Below are 15,892 nucleotides of genomic sequence, written 5' to 3'. Positions count from 1 at the left end.
GGGCCCCTGGCTAGAGTACAGACTGGTGACAAGCAACCACAAGAGCAATGGGACATCCCTACTCCTGGGCCTGGGCCAGGGCAAGGCCATCTGGACTGTGCTTACTCTGGACCAGTGGAAAAAAGTGTCTGTTGAGGGCAGATGGCAGATCCCCATCTAAGGTTGAAAAGAGGCCTGTGGATTTTATTCTCCGTGCAGTGGAAAGTCATTAAGTGATGTGTGTGAATTTGCATCTTTATTTATTTATTTATTTTTAAGACAATGTCTCGCTCTGTCGCCCAGGCTGGAGTGCAGTGGCACGATCTCGGCTCACTGCAAGCTCCGCCTCCCGGGTTCATGCCATTCTCCTGCCTCAGCCTCCCGAGTAGCTGGGACTACAGGCGCCTGCCACCACACCTGGCTAATTTTTTGTATTTTTAGTGGAGACGGGGTTTCATCGTGTTAGCCAGGATGGTCTCGATCTCCTGACCTCGTGATCCGCCCACCTCGGCCTCCCAAAGTGCTGAGATTACAGGCATGAGCCACCAATATATATATTATATATATTATATAAATTATTATATATAATATATATAATATATTTTACATTATAAAAAAATATAGTATTATTTTTTATTTAAAAAAATTATTTATTTTTTTGAGTGCAGTGGCACCATCTCAGCTCACTGCAACCTCTACCTCCTGGGTTCAAGAGATTCTCCTGCCTCAGCTTCCCAAGTAGCTGGGATTACAGGCGTGTACCACCACGCCCGGCTACCTTTTATATTTTTAGTAGAGATGGGGTTTCGCCATGTTGGCCAGGCTGGTCTTGAACTCCTGGCCTCAAGTGATCCTCCCACCTCGGCTTCCCAAAGTGCTGACATTACAGGCGTGAGCCACCGCGCCTGGCCTTGGATTTGCATCGTTTAAAGACACCTCTGGCTGCTGGATGGAGAATGGCCTGGAAGGGCATGAGGGTAGGGAATGGCAGAGCAGTAAGGAGGCTCCTACCAACGGCCAGGAGCCCAGTGAGAATGGTGGCAGTGAACTGTGGGCCAGAGAGAGCAGATTCCAGAGATCTTTAGGAAGTAGGAGGCAGGTGGCCAGGTGTGGTGACTCATGCCTATAATCCCAGCACTTTGGGAGGCCGAGGCAGGTGGATCACTTAAGGCCAGGAGTTCGAGACCCACCTGGCCAACATGGCGATACCCCATCTCTACTAAATATACAAAAATTAGCCGGGCATAGTGGTGCATGCCTGTAATCCCAGTGACTTGGATGGCTGAGGCAGGAGGATTGCTTGAGCCCAAGAGGCGGAGGCTGCAGTGAGCTGAGATCCCACCACTGCACTCCAGCCTGGGCAACAGACTGAGATGCCGTCTCAAAATTTAAAAAGTAGTAGACAGGTGACTGGCATTGGACGTAGGTGGAGGAGGGCAAGGGAGGAGTCAGGAGTGACTCCTGGGTTCTGTCTATGGGGCTGCGTGTCTGTTGAATGAGATCAGAACTGCAGGGGAGCACATTTGGGGTTGAAAAGTCAGGAGCTCTATTCAGGACATTCTGCACTGGAGACCTGTGAGACACCCAGATTGCACGTCAAACAAGGGGGGTCCCCACAAAGGCAGTAGATGGACCCCTCTGCTGGGCCAAGCGCCCTGCACCCAGGCCTCTCACCTCCAGAGCCCAGGAACCTCTTGCCATCGGACACCACCGGATACTTGGTCTCCAGCCTGCGGTCTGGGTAGATGAGCTCCTCAGCAGAGAAGACCACCTGGCTCCTGGCCTGCCGGAACTTCTTCAGGAGCTCCCGGGGCCCCGATGCAAACAGCACGTCATAGCTGTGGCCAGAGCAGCGAGAAGACGGAGCAGGGCAAGGGTGAGCAGGGGCCCAGTGAGGGCACAGACAGGAGGGACCAGGGATCAAGTGCTCCACAAATGGCCCTCTGCCCACGCCAGCCTGGGCCACCATCTGGGAAATGGACCTGTCTCTGTCTGCAGCCCTGCCTGCCATGTTCCCACCCGCACCCTGGGCAAAGAGATGGTCCCCACAACATGTCATTCTTCTCTTACTTAAAGGGGGCCCATCACACTCATGGGTCACCTCCTCTTTATCTTTTCACCAAGCCTGGGAATGGGCTTTACTAAGACCGGGAATGGACACCCTAAAACTAGGCAACCTTAGCTAGAGTGGTCCCCCTTCTTCCCCGATGTTCTGGGAGGGCCTCATTTTAGAATATTCTTCTATCTTCCGCGGAGGGGCCCAGGCTAGGAAGCCCTGACCCACCTACCTGTCTGCGAAGAGAATGACCAGATCCTCCTTGTCTGCGTGCTTCTCCAGAGCTTTCTTCAGCAGCCGGACCTTCTGCCCTCCACCTGCCGACGTCCCCTTCTCCACATTCCAGTCCTCCCCTAGGCCAAGCGCCTGGAGAGAAACACCCCTTAACACGGGCTTTTGGTAAAGAAATATTTTTCCAGGGCTGGCCGTGGTGGCTCATGCTGGTAATCCCAGCACTTTGGGAGGCCGAGACGTGTGGACCACCTGAGGTCAGGAATTCAAGACCAGACTGGCCAACATGGCGAAACCCTGTCTCTACTAAAAACACAAAAATTAGCGGCGTGTGGTGGCACATGCCTCTAATTCCAGCTACTCGGGAGGCTAAAGTAGGAGAATTGCTTGAACCCGGGAGGTGGGGGTTCCAGTGAGCCGAAATCGCTCCATTGCACTTCAGCCTGGGAGACAGAGCAACACTCCGTCTCAAAAAAAGAGAAAAAGAAATAATTTTTTTGCTCCTGTGGGTCCAGCAACTCTGACCCTCCCCTGTAAGGAAACCATTCTCCACCTGTATGAGGATTAGCCGGTTCCTGGTGGTCATGTGACCATGCCTGTCCAATCAGAATGTCCCACCCTTCCTGCCCCTCCCACATCCGGAGATTTGAGCATGTGACCCCAGCATGGCCTATCAGCGCCTTCCCTGGGACTGTTCTGTGAAAAACAGAACAGTCTGCAGGCCTTTCCTAAAAAGGAAAGCCTGTCTCCTTCTGCTGAAGTTGAGAAACTGGGGCACATGAATCTGTGGCTGGTGGTCATCTTGCCACCACGATTAAAACAAACAGGGCCTAGAGATGGAAACACAAGGCCCTCACTTTGCTGCTTGAATCCCTGGATCCAGCCATGCCTGAAGCAACCCTCTGCTGCAACCCTCATTCATGTGAGCTGATACACTTGCTTGCTGACTTAATGCCACTAGATTGCAAGCTCTGTGTAAGCAATGACATGTTCTGTATTGTCCATCACCCTATTGCCAGTGCCCAACCTTGTGCCTGACATAAGGAAGCACTCAGGATACTCGTCTCCCTGCAGGGCTCAGCCCCATGGACTGCACACAGATGACACCAAGCCCATGCCAGTGGTCGATCGGGCATTAGCTCATGTTTCTTTTTTCTTTTATTTTCTTTTTTTTTTTTGAGACAGAGTTTCACTCTATTGCCCAGGCTGGAGTGCAGTGACGCCACCTCGGCTCACTGCAACCTCCGCCTCCCAGGTTCAAGTGATTCTCCCGCCTCAGCCTCCTAAGCAGCTGGGATTACAGGTGCGTGCCATCATGCCCAGCTAATTTTTTTATATTTTTAGTAGAGATGGGGTTTCGCCATGTTGGCCAGGCTGGTCTCGAACTCCTGACCTCAGTGGATCATCAGACTCCCAAAGTGCTGGGAATACAGGCGTGAGCCCCTGTGCGGGACCACTCATGTTTCTTTAGAGCAGTGTTTATAATACCGGGAAGATGTCTAGACCGTGCCCATCCCCAAATTACGGGGTGGTACTTGTGGAAATGCTGATCCCGAGGCCCTGTCCTCTAAACTAGCCTCTCAGCTGAGGCTCCTGCACACTAACATCTGAGCATTTCTTTAGCCAACTCTTTCCCTCTCCATCACCCCCTAGACTCATGCTGTGTCCTCTGCTGTGTCTTCCCATTCCCGACTAACTCATTTTCATCCTTCAGGCTTCCAGAAGCCTCCCCTGTGGCCCCAAGTCTATCTTAAGAGACGTGGTAGTTTGGAAAGGACACTAGCTCCTAGATCCTCCTGCCACCCCTCACTGTCTCTGCCTCACCCAGGAAACCCCTTACCTGGATCTTGTAGTTGAAGAACTGAGCTGAGCGCTTGAAGCGACGGAATCCCTCGGTCTCCTTAGTGGCCACCGTGAGGACTAAAAGGTTGTCTGCAGACAGAGGAGGGTATGGTGAATGGGAATGGAGGATGAGGGAGGTGACAGGGAGGAGGTCTTTGTTCCCAGTGACCTGTCAAATTCTGGCAGGAAGTGTCTTCATGTCAACCCATTACAGAACAGGGCCCAGGGAAGAAAGGATGATAGAGCAGGAAATAACCCAGGTCTCCTGAGTCTCCTCCAGGGCTCCCTCCACCCAGTAACTGACCGATATAGTTGGATATTTGTCCCCTCCAAATTGCACATTGAAATGTGATCCCCACTGTTGGAGGTGGGGCCCAGTGGGAGGTGTTTGGGTCACAGAGGTAGATCCCTCATGAATGGCTTGGTGCCATCTCCTTGGTAATGAGTGAGTTCTTGCTCTGAGTTCATGTGAGAGCTGGTTGGTTTTTATTTTTTTGAGACAGAGTCTCACTCTGTCACCCAGGCTGGAGTGCAGTGGCATGATCTCAGCTCACTGCAACCTCCACCTCCTGGGTTCAAGCTATTCTCCTGCCTCAGCCTCCCAAGTAGCTGGGACTACAGGCGGGTGCCACCACACCTGGCTAATTTTTATGTTTTTAGTAGACACGGGGCTTTGCCACGTTGGCCAGGCTGGTCTTGAACAGCTGACCTCTGGTGATCTGCTTCAGCCTCCGAAAGTGCTGGGATTACAAGCATGAGTCATCATGCCCGACCAAGAGAGCTGGGTTGTTTTTTTTGTTTGTTTGTTTGTTTTTGTTTTTTTTTTTTTGAGACAGCATCTCACTCTGTCACCGAAGCTGGAGTGCAGTGGCACAATCTCAACTCACTGCAACCTCCGCCTCCTGAGTAGCTGGGACTACAGGCACTCGCCACCATGCCCAGCTAATTTTTGTATTTTTAATAGAGGCGGGGTTTCATCATGTTGGCCAGGCTGGTCTCAAACTCCTGACCGCAAATGATCCACACGCCTTGGCCTCCCAAAGTGCCAGGATTACAGGCATGAGCCACCGTGCCCAGCAGAGAGCTGGTTGTTTAAAAGAGCCTTGCACTTCCTCCTCTCTCTTGCTCCAGCTCTCACCATGTGACATGCCTGCCATGAGTCAAAGCTTCCTGAGGCCTCACTGGAAGCAGAACAGATGCTGGTGGTATGCTTGTACAGCCTGCAGAACTGTGAGCCAAATAAACCTCTTGAGAAATCACCCAGCCACGGGTACTTCTTTACAGCAACATAAAACAGACAAATACACTGACCAACATGTCATGAAGCATGTGCTGTAGACAGGAGAGGTGTCTACACCCTACATTATAGGACTGAGTTTCTGGCTTTAGAGGGTGTGGAAGGAAGATTACTCTGAATGCTGACCACCAGGAAGATCTCTCTGGCCAATGATAGACAATTAGCCCAGGGACAGCAAATACATGGCTCACAGGTCCCTGCTCTCCATACCTAACCCAGGACAGACATTGCTAATCTATCTCACAGTCTTTCTTGCTGAGTATCACATGGCTCTAGATTCTCCCAACACCATGCTTGAGGCTCTTAGAACCAATGAGTCGGCCCAGAGTGGAAACTGACTTGAAATCTACTGGTCCACTGCTGACCTTTGGCCAGGGCAGCCATTCCTACAATTTTAACAAGGAACCTCTCCCAGGCTCTGTAGTGTGGCCTGCCTCTGCAACAGAATCTTCTGGAAATAACTCCCCAGAGAGCATCTCAGGGAGCCCTGGGGAAGCCCCTCTCAGAGCACACTTTGAAGCTGTGTTCTCTGAGAAGCGAGGAGTCTGGAGCTAGCCTGCCTGGTTAGAATCCTAGCTCTGCTCCTTAATAGCCATGTGACCTGGGGCAAGTCCCTAGCCCTTCTGAGACTCAGTTTCCCCCTTGGAAAGCAGGGATAATAATAGTACCTACTTCTCAGGGCTGCTGGAGTAATTAAATGAGATCAGGCATGTAAAATCTTTATTGGGATGCTCGGCACACATGAAGAGGTATTACTGAAGGCTGGTCACAGTGGCTCACACCGGTAATCCCAGCACTTTGGGAGGCTGAGGCAGGCAGATCACTTGAGATCAGGAGTTCGAGAACAGCCTGGCCAACATGGTGAAACCCCGTCTCTACTAAAAATACAAAAATTAGCTGGGCGTGGTGGCATGTGCCTGTAGTCCTAGCTACTTGGGAGGCTGAGACAGGAGAATTGCTTGAACCCAGAAGGTAGAGGTTGCAGTGAGCCAAGATCGCACCACTGCACTCCAGCCTGGGTGACAGAGCAAGACTCCACCTCAAAAATAAAAATAAAAATAAATAAAAATAAAGAGGTATTACTGGTGCTGATTAATGAGAAGCAAATGCCTTGGCCTGGCATTCAAGGCCCTCTCTGATCTGGCGGGTGATATACTCATCCCTCTCCATCATGCAGGCCCTCCTCCAACTGGAGGGGGTCTCTCCTTGCTGGGTTCCTCCCATGCAAGGGATCATGCAAGGGACCATGCAAGGGACCTCCCATGCAAGGGACCTCCCATGCAAGGGACCATGGCTCCCTCTGTGTCCCCTTTCTTGTTTTTGTTTTTTGGGTTTTTTTTTTTGAGACCCAATCTCACTCCCGTTGCCCAGGCTGGAGTGCAGAGGCACAATCATGGCTCATGGCTCACTGCAACCTTGACTTCCTGCACTCAGGTGATCCTCCCACCTTAGCCTCCCAGGTAGCTGGGAGGGACTGCAGGTGCACCCCACCAAGCCCAGCTAAATTTTTTAGTGGAGATGAGGTTTCACCATGTTACTCAGGCTGGTCTGGAACTCCCAGCCTCAACCAATCTGCGCACCTTGGCCTCCCAAAGTGCTGGGATTACAGGCGTGAGCCACCACACCCGGCCTGTGTCTCCTTTCTCTAACCTTCCTCCAGGTCCCAGGGCCAGTGACAATGACGTCCCTTCCACCTCTATGAAGCCTTCTCGGATTTCTCCTGCCCTCTCTGGCCTCCAAGCCACAGAGGCAAGACCCACACTGCAGTGCTCATCATTGTTTCCCTGGGTGAGTCTTAGCTCCCTGAGGGTCTGCAGCTTACACTTCTCACCTGGTGGCCAGATTGACAGCAGGCAGGTAAGGCCCTCCCCTCCCACCACCTCAGGAAGTCAGGAGGAACCTAGACTGTAGGAACAAAGGGGCCTGGCTTGCCAGAGCTGGCGGGGCAGGGGTAGCTGGGGCAGGGGTAGCCGGGGCAGGGAGCTGGCCCCAGGGCAGAGGGCTGGCGCCAGGCGGCCCAGCAGGGATTGGCAGGGATTAGCTGCGGTGCTGGGGGAGGAGGGGGTGGATACACCAGGCAGGTGTGGGAAGGAGAGGCCTCACTACCTGAACCTGGGATCCAGAAACGAGGGATGCTGCTCACACTTGGGGAAGGGCTCCCCCGAGCTCCTGCCAGGACGGTGAAGTCTCTCCCCAGGTGAAGAGAACCAGAGCCACCAGCTCTGAGGCCCTCTTGGCAACAGGGGGCTGCTGGGGACAGGAAGAGTGTCACATTTCATGGATGGAAAAAGCCAGCGTGAGAGCATGTGAGTGAGTGTGTGTGTGTGTGTGTGTGTGTGTGTGTGTACGCGTGCATGCGCAATTCAGGATTCTTGATGGAACAGGCTCTTGAACTCCAGCAGCAGGGGTGGGGGAAGGGGATGGGGTGGCGTGGCTCAAAGCCCCTTTCTCAGGTTCCTGCTTCTCAATAACAGCAACAATAATGGCTTACCTTCATCGAGCATTTTCTGTGTGCCAGACACAATTTTTTTTTTTTGAGACAGAGTCTCGCTCTGTCACCCAGGCTGGAGTGCAGTGGCTAGATCTTGTCTCACTACAACCTCTATCTCCTGGGTTCAAGCGATTCTCATGCCTCAGCCTCCTAAATAGTTGGGATTACAGGTGCCGGCCACCACGCCCAGCTAATTTTTTGTATTTTTAGTAGAGATGGGGTTTCACCATGTTGGCCAGGCTGGTCGCAAACTCATGACCTCAGGTGATCTGCCTGCCTCAGCTTCCCAAAGTGCTGGATTACAGGCATGAGCCACCGTGCCCAGCCAATGCTGTTCCAAGCACTTCACACATACTAACCCCCGACTTTCCAGTTAGGAAACCAAGGGTACAGCTGGCGAGTAATGTGCCCAAGGGAGCTAGGAAGCAGCAGCACCAGGACTTGGACACAAGCCTGAACCCAGAGTCTCCTCTCTTAACCTAAATGCATGCACTGCCCAGCCAGGGACGGTGGCCAGGCCATCTGTTGAGAGGGCCCTGTCTCTCTATCTATGTAAGGGAGCTGTCTAGCTGTGCCCTCCCCACATGCCCACTTTCCTCCCTATAACCTGTCTATTCCCTGTTTTCCAGGGAAACAGTGCTGCTGAGAGCCCACACTGGGACCTTAACCCCCAGGTTCCGTGGCCAGGCGTGGTGACTCACGCCTGTAATCGCAGCACTTTGAGAGGCTGAGGCAGGTGGATCACCTGAGGTCAGGAGTTTGAGAGCAGCCTGGTCAACATGGTGAAACCCTGTCTCTACTAAGAATACAAAAATTAGCCGGGCGTGGTGGCACATGCCTGTAATCCCAACTACTCGTGAGGCTCAGGCAAGAGAATCGCTTGAACCCGGGAGGTGGCGGCTGCAGTGAGCAGAGACTGTGCCATTGCAGTCCGGCCTGGGCGACAAGAACAAAACTCTGTCTCAAAAAAAAAAAAAGAAAGAAAAAAAAAGCCGGGCACGGTGGCTCATGCCTATAATCCTAGCACTTTGGGAGGCCAAGGCAGGTGGATCATGAGATCAGGAGTTCAAGACCAGCCTGGCCAACATGGTGAAACCCCATCTTTACTAAAAATACAAAAATTAGCTAGGCATGGTGGTGGGCGGGAGCCTGTAATCCCAGCTACTCGGGAGGTGGAGGCAGAGAACTGCTTGAACCCAGGGGGCAGAGATTGCAGTGAGCCGAGATAATGCCACTGCACTCTAGCCTGGGTGACAGAGCAAGTCTCCATCTCAAAAACAAAAACAAAAAACAAAAAACCAAACAAACAAAAAAAACTCCCGGGTTCCTTGGGCCACGCAGAGCCTGCCTCTCTGGTTGAGGATCCCACGTGATTGTCCAGTTCAGAGGGTCCCAAACCTGCCCACACATCAGCATCACAAGAGAGGTTGTGGAATCCAGGCTCCTAGGCCCCAGGGCTAGGGGTCTGAGGTGGGCCCAGGAGTCTGGATTTTTCCTACCTTTCCCAGGTGATTTCTGATGTCAGCCACATTTGGGAATCACTGGTCCAATCCATCCCCTTGGTCCGCTGACACTGGGCTGCAATGCAGGGGTCTGGGAGGCGGTTCACAACAAGAGAACTGAAGGCAAGCCCTCCAACAAGAGACCCTGGCATGACCTCCTAACATCCCCAAGGAAACAGCCTCAGTAAACCCAGCCTGCACCCCATTCCCTTGACCTGTCTGCAACACACATTCCTTCCCCTAAAGAGGCCTCCAGTCTACCTCCTCCAGGAAGCCCTCCTTAATCTCATCCCATGTGGTCACTCCTTTGCACGTGCAGTCTTGGTTTGCCCAGTAGTTGACGTATTGGTACAAACCTGCTCCTTCTCCCTCTGCCAGGCCAGGGCCACATCTTTATTTCCTTGGTCTCCCTCTCCCTCACCATGGCTGGGACTGGGCATGACCAAGACACACTGTACATTCTGGCCTTAAGCAGCTACGTGAGGCCTGACACAGTGGCTCACACCTGTAATCCCAGCACTTTGGGAAGTGAGGGGAAGCTGAGGCAGGCAGATCAGTTGAGATCAGAAATTTGAGACCAGCCTGGCCAACATGGTGAAACCCCGTCTCTACTAAAAATACAAAAATTAGCTAGACGTGGTGGCAAGAGCCTGTAGTCCCAGCTACTCAGAAGGCTGAGGCACGAGAATTGCTTGAACCCAGGAGGCAGAGGTTGCAGTGAGCCAGGGTTGTGCCACTGTACTCCAGCCTGGGCAACAGGGTGAAACTCTGTCTCAAAAAAAAAAAAAAAGGCCGGGCACAGTGGCTCACACACCTGTAATCCCAGCACTTTGGGAGGCCAAGGTGGACAGATCACCTGAGGTCAGGAATTCAAGTCCCACCTGGCCAACATGGCAAAACCCCGTCTCTACTAAAAATACAAAAATTAGCCAGGCAGTGGTGCATATTACATACTGCAAGTTATACGGTGGTGCATGTAATCCCAGCTACTAGTCCGGGCGCGGTGGCTCACGCCTGTTATCCTAGCACTTTGAGAGGCCTAGGCGGGCGGATCACCTGAGGTCAGGAGTTTGAGACCAGCCTAACCAATGTGATGAAACCCCGTCTCTACTAAAAATACAAAAAAAATTTAGCTGGGCATGGTGGCAGGCGCCTATAATCCCTGCTATTCAGGAGGCTGAGATAGGAGAATTGCTTGACCCAGGAGGCAGAGGTTGCAATGAGCCCAGATTGTGCCATTGCACTCTAGCCTGGGCAACAAAAGTGAAACTCCATCTCAAAAATAATAATAATAATAATAATAATAATCCCAGCTACTTAGGAGACTAAGGCAGGAGAATCACTTGAAACCAGGAGGCAGAGGTTGCAGTGAGCCAAGATTGTGCCACTGCACCCCAGCCCGGGTGACAGAGTGAAACTCTGTCTCAAAAAAAAAAGCAGCAACATGGAAGGTACTTTTGTACTTTTGTGGTGCCACTGCACTCTAGCCTGGGTGACAGAGCAAGTCTCCCTCTCAAAAACAAAAAACAAAAAACAAAACAAACAAACAAAGTACTTTTAGGAACAGCTACCACCACTGAACCCGGTGAGATACCGTGTGCTGTATGAGGCATGTTACATTCATTATCTTATTTCACGGTCAACACTCTACGAGGAAGGTGATATTTTTATCACTGCTTCTTCGGGTGAGGAAACCGAGGCACAGAGAGGCTAAATACCTGACCCAAAGTCACAGAACCTTTAGGTGAAATGGGAATGAGTTGGAATTCTAAATGCCCATGCTCTTGTCTTCATTTCCCTGTCCAAGAGCCCAACATCCTAAGATGCCAGACTCCTGGCTGCAGACAAAAGCCAGCGCTTCCAGTGCCTTCTCTCTGGCCTCTGCAGCACAAGCACCCAACTGCAGTCACGTGGTGAGGTCTTTTCCCAGCTCACTGTTAGGCCAGGCCAGAGAAACCCTTAAGGCATGGATGTGGAAGATTCATTTTCGAGTACCAAGGCCCCTCCCATCTGCTTTCTGTCTGGTCCAGCCAGCTGCCTTGGGCTAAGGCCAAGGCCTGGCACCCAGAGCTCTCAGCCCTCCCCACCTACTGCCCAAAGTCCAGCAATGACTTCCCCAGATGAACCCGTGATCCAGGATCAGCAGAAATCAATGAGATACAACAGAGAGGGTGCTAAAGACAGATTGCTGGGCAGGGAATTTAGCCTCTCCGTGCCTCAGTTTTCTCATCTGTAAAATGGGAATAATACAGATGATAGTACCTCCCTCCAGAGACTTTCATGAGGATTCAATGAGCCAATGCCGTAAAGCGCTTGGCACAGTGCCTGCCTTGGTAGCTGCGGGGGGGTTCTGGCGACAGGGTGCCTCCCCTAAAGGGGAGCTGTGTCTTGGTAGATGCTGCCCTGGGGGTCAGGAATAAAGGGGAGCTGCCTTCCTGAGAGCAAGAATGATGCAGAGGGTGGGGTGGCTCACACCTGTAATGTCAACACTTAGGGAGACCAAGGCAGGAGGCTTATTTGAGGCCCTGAGTTCAAGACCAACCTGTGCAACAAAGTGAGACCCTGTCTCTACAAAAAATTAAAAAATTAGCCAGACATGGTGGCACGCACCTCTAGGCCCAGCTACTCAGGAAGCTGAGGCAGGAGGATTGCTTGAGCCCAGGAGGTGAAGGCTGCAGTGAGCTATAGTCATGCTACTGGGCCACAGGAATTAGCCAGGTGCAGTGGCTCACACCTGTAATCCCGGTCTTTGGGGGGCCAAGGTGGGGATGATCACTTGAGCCTGAGGGTTCAAGACCAGCCGGGGCAACACAGTGAGACCCTGTCTGTACAAAAAAATAAAATTTAGAAAAACTTTTAAGAGAAGAATGATGTGTGCGGTGGCTCACACCTGTAATCCTAGCACTTTGGGAGGCCAAGGCGGGTGGATCACATGAGGTCAGGAGCTCGAGACCAGCCTGGCCAACATGGCGAAACCCCATCTCTACTAAAAATACAAAAATTAGCTGGGCATGATGGTGGGCGCCTGTAATCCCAGCTACTCGGGAGACTGAGGCAGGAGAACTGCTTGAACCCAGGGGGCAGAGGTTGCAGTGAGCTGAGATCATGCCATTTCACTCCAGACTAGGTGAGCGAGACTCCATCTCAAAAAAAGAAAAAGAAAAAGAATGATGTGGAGAGACTGACGGTGAGGGCTTGGTTGGGGTGTGCGTATGTGATGAGCTCCTGGAAGAATGGGACCTCTGGGCACCCCTGGTTTGACTGTGCCACCGGATGCCCCCTCCTCCCCAAGCAGTCCCAGCCCAAGGCGTGGGTGGTCACTGTGTGGCCTGAGTCAAGGCACAGTCATGACACACCCAGTCTGCTCCCTGGGGAGGCGGGAATGAATGAAGCCCTTCCGCCCTCTCCCCTCCCCCATCCTTCATCCCCACCCCAGGCTTGAACTGAAGCCAGGAACAGGGTCTGGCAGGAGCTTGGGATGCCCTGCACGTGGGAGCCAACCTTAGCCTCCCCGGGGCCAGCTGCCCACTTAGGTCTCCCCAGACCCGGCCCCACCCCCACACCATCCAGTGCAGCCTGACTGACTCCTGGGACCCTTCTGTTCTCTAGTAGGGAACAGCATGACCTGAACGGCCAGCTGAGCCTCTGATCTCTGCAGCTGTCCTTCTCTCACCACGGCCAAATCAAGGCCCACAGGGAAAGGCAGGAGCTGGAGATCTGCTAGAAGTTTCTACAAACGGGAGGAAGGGCTGTGGGACATCTGACCTCGGCTCTAGGGATATCTGCCTGTTTGGATGTTGCCTTTTATTCTCCCAGTTCCCTGTGATGGAAGATATTGCTTTGTTGAAGCCTTCTTGTGTCTCCCATCTTGTTCTGGAAGCCCCCCCAGGATGGCGCAACATCTCTTCCCTCAGACGTGGGGTGTCTACTGAAGTGAGGTGCTCTGTACCCCCCTCTCATTGGGAGCCCCCAAAAGTGAAAACGGTCCATGTTTCTCTCCATGCACCAAGGCCATGCGTTTTGGGTGAGGGGACAGACAAGCTGCTGACAGCACCCCACCCATCTCACTCCCCGAGACTCCACAGCAAATCCCCTTCCCTACTCCAGCTGAATCCACCTCAGTAGCTGCCTCCTCCCATCCATCTGCCAGGGAAAGGGAAGAGCTGGCCTCTTTGGGGGCTGCTGGGGTACCCCCCACCAAACACACACACTAGTCAGTGGGATGCTCAGGCAAGACCTGCAGGGAAGATGAGCAACCCACTCTGTCCTCCTGTCCAGCTGGCTAAAGGTCACACCTCAGCTGGGTCTGGGGGAGCTGAGCAGGCTCCCCCAGGCAGCATTTCCAGGCAACAGCACCCCCTTCCCGTCCAGAGGTGCAGAAATGAACAGTAGGTCTGAGTTCCAGACAATGACCCCACCTCCAACCAGCTCTGGCAATGAGAGACCAGATGTTTAACCTACCAGGACCTCAGTCTTCCCATCTCCAAAATGGAGTTGATGATTTCTTACTTAGCAAAGGGATCCTGGCCGGGCGTGGTGGCTCAGGCCTGTAATCCCAGCACTTTGGGAAGCCAAGGTGGGCAAATCGCTTGAGGTCAGGATTGAGACCAGCCTGGCTAACATTGCAAAACCCCGTCTCTACTAAAAATACAAAAATTAGCCAGGCATGGTGGTGCATGCCTGTGATCCCAGCTACTTGGGAGGCTGAGACAGGAGAATCGCTTGAACCCTGGAGGTGGAGGCTGCAGTGCGCTGAGATCGTGCCACTGCACTCCAGCCTGGGCGACAAAGCGAGACTCTGTCTCAAAGAAAAAAAAAAAAAGAAAATGAAAACTTAAAAAAAAAAAAAAAAATGGAAAACAGGGAGGGATCCAAATGGAGAAGGGAAGCAAAGGGCCCAACTCAGACTGGCCTGACATTAGCCCCAGGCCTGGGGATCTGCTCTCTTGTGCATCAGTGAGCACAGATGTGCTTTCTACCTACCAGGTGCTCTACCTGGGTTACCTCAGTAGCACACTGATCCTGTCCTCCGCCCATAGCAGCACCCTCTGTGAAGGCTTCCTTGGATCTGCTCTGCCCTCCTCCTGTCACTTGCTGGGGATCAGGGTGCCTAACGCCCTGTCATCAGTCTGGTCCCTCTTCAATTCAACTCACCGGGCTTCATCATGGGCAGCTGCGGTTTCTCTCCTGGGATGGTCTGGGATGCAGGCACCCCATGTCAGCAGAAGCAGGGGGATCAAAGGCCCAGAAAACTAGGCCACAACAGGGCTCCTGGCCAGTGAGGGGACCCAGGCCGAGAGCCCTTTGCACAGCCCGGTGGTCAGCGTTTCCATCACTGGACTTTCTGAGCTGTCTTACTGCCCTGCTGTAAGCCAGCAGCCCTGGGACTGGGAGAGAAAATGCCCTTTGCCGAGGGCCTTTCATGGGCCAGGCATTGAGCTGAACTCTCCCCAACTTCATCCCCTGGAATTCTTGTTAGAGCTCCAGGCGTGAGGTAGTATCACCGGGTCTTGCAGGCTAGAACACCAAGCCTCACAGAGAGCAAGCACCGCCGGCTTTACCACTGGGAGACGTGGGGCCTTGGGCACAACCTGGTCCGAGGGAGGTACTCAAGAAATGGCAGTTCCTGGCCGGGCGCGGTGGCTCACGCCTGTAATCCCGGTACTTTGGGAGGCCGAGGTAGGCGGATCACCTGAGATCAAGAGTTTGAAACCAGCCTGACCAACATGGTGAAACCCCGTCTCTACTAAAAATACAAACATTAGCTGAGCGTTGTGGCATCCGCCTGTAATCCCAGCCACTAGGGAGATTGAGGCAGGAGAATCGCTTGAACCTGGGAGGCGGAGGTTGCAGTGAGCTGAGATCGCACCATTGGACTCCAGCCTGGGCAACGGGAGTGAAACTCTGCCTCAAAAAAAAAAAAAGAAAGAAAAGAAAAGAAATGGTGGTTCCTGGCTGGGTGCAGTGGCTCCCACCTGTAATCCCAGCACTTTGGGAGGCCGAGGCAGGAGGATCACTTGAGGTCAGGAGTTTGAAACCAGCCTGGCCAACATGGCGAAACCTCGTCTCTTCTAAAGATACAAAAATTAGCTGGGCGTGGTGGTGCAGGCCTGTAATCCCAGCTACTTGGGAGGCTGACGCACGAGAATTGCTTGAACCCAGGAGACAGAGGTTGCAGTGAGCCAAGGTCATGCTACTGCACTCCAGCCTGGGGGACACAGTGAAACACTGTCTCAAAAAAAAATTAAATAAATAAAATAAAATAAATGGTGGTTCCCATTCCTGACCCAAAGAACCCGGGATCCTTCTGGTGATACAGTTTCAGGTTCTCCAGGAGGGTAAGCTGAAGGAGGAGAATGCCATGGAAAGTACCGCCACTTCTGCTTGGCTTTGCTGGGACTGTCCGCAGTCTATGCCCTTCTCGGGACAGCCCTGGAGATGGCCCATGCCAGGGAGGGCTGGGGAGGAGGGAAGCACCCACTCAGGACAGTGGG

General features: G+C 52.9%; 1 protein-coding gene across 2 annotated transcripts in view, besides 6 other annotated features; it reads right to left on the bottom strand.

The window, feature by feature from the left end:
- Positions 1 to 15,892, bottom strand: part of PLOD1 (procollagen-lysine,2-oxoglutarate 5-dioxygenase 1) — a 40,821-nt gene that overhangs the window by 23,364 nt on the left and 1,565 nt on the right. Inside the window, exons 2-5 of one of the 2 annotated variants that reach the window (NM_001316320.2) lie at positions 7,512 to 7,652; positions 4,107 to 4,198; positions 2,268 to 2,401; positions 1,654 to 1,817 (exon numbers count right to left, since the gene is read on the bottom strand). In NM_001316320.2, the coding sequence (NP_001303249.1) occupies positions 1,654 to 1,817; positions 2,268 to 2,401; positions 4,107 to 4,198; positions 7,512 to 7,652 (531 nt within the window). The remainder of the gene's footprint in view (positions 1 to 1,653; positions 1,818 to 2,267; positions 2,402 to 4,106; positions 4,199 to 7,511; positions 7,653 to 15,892) is intronic. The other variant, NM_000302.4, reaches the window with a different exon arrangement.
- Positions 6,388 to 7,063: an enhancer, noted in NCBI's record as "H3K27ac-H3K4me1 hESC enhancer chr1:12005168-12005843 (GRCh37/hg19 assembly coordinates)". NCBI's record gives its function as "activates a minimal SCP1, AML or CMV promoter by ChIP-STARR-seq in naive H9 embryonic stem cells {active_cell/tissue: H9 hESC(naive)}" and the evidence as "EXISTENCE:reporter gene assay evidence [ECO:0000049][PMID:30033119]".
- Positions 7,064 to 7,740: an enhancer, noted in NCBI's record as "H3K27ac-H3K4me1 hESC enhancer chr1:12004491-12005167 (GRCh37/hg19 assembly coordinates)". NCBI's record gives its function as "activates a minimal SCP1, AML or CMV promoter by ChIP-STARR-seq in naive H9 embryonic stem cells {active_cell/tissue: H9 hESC(naive)}" and the evidence as "EXISTENCE:reporter gene assay evidence [ECO:0000049][PMID:30033119]".
- Positions 7,064 to 7,862: a biological region, named in NCBI's record as "Sharpr-MPRA regulatory region 8260".
- Positions 7,568 to 7,862: an enhancer, noted in NCBI's record as "tiled region #8260; HepG2 Activating non-DNase unmatched - State 18:Pol2". NCBI's record gives its function as "activates a minimal TATA promoter and a strong SV40 promoter by Sharpr-MPRA in HepG2 cells {active_cell/tissue: HepG2}" and the evidence as "EXISTENCE:reporter gene assay evidence [ECO:0000049][PMID:27701403]".
- Positions 12,207 to 13,406: an enhancer, noted in NCBI's record as "P300/CBP strongly-dependent group 1 enhancer chr1:11998825-12000024 (GRCh37/hg19 assembly coordinates)". NCBI's record gives its function as "activates an origin of replication core promoter dependent on BRD2, BRD4, P300/CBP, MED14 and CDK7 cofactors, with strong dependence on P300/CBP, by STARR-seq in HCT116 cells {active_cell/tissue: HCT116}" and the evidence as "EXISTENCE:reporter gene assay evidence [ECO:0000049][PMID:35650434]".
- Positions 12,352 to 13,244: an enhancer, noted in NCBI's record as "H3K27ac-H3K4me1 hESC enhancer chr1:11998987-11999879 (GRCh37/hg19 assembly coordinates)". NCBI's record gives its function as "activates a minimal SCP1, AML or CMV promoter by ChIP-STARR-seq in primed H9 embryonic stem cells {active_cell/tissue: H9 hESC(primed)}" and the evidence as "EXISTENCE:reporter gene assay evidence [ECO:0000049][PMID:30033119]".

The sequence above is a fragment of the Homo sapiens genome, chromosome 1 (genome assembly GCF_000001405.40).
Source record: "Homo sapiens chromosome 1, GRCh38.p14 Primary Assembly".
NCBI lineage: Eukaryota > Metazoa > Chordata > Mammalia > Primates > Hominidae > Homo > Homo sapiens.
Note: the sequence above shows the minus strand (reverse complement) of the source record. Positions and strands in the feature narration are given on the sequence as shown.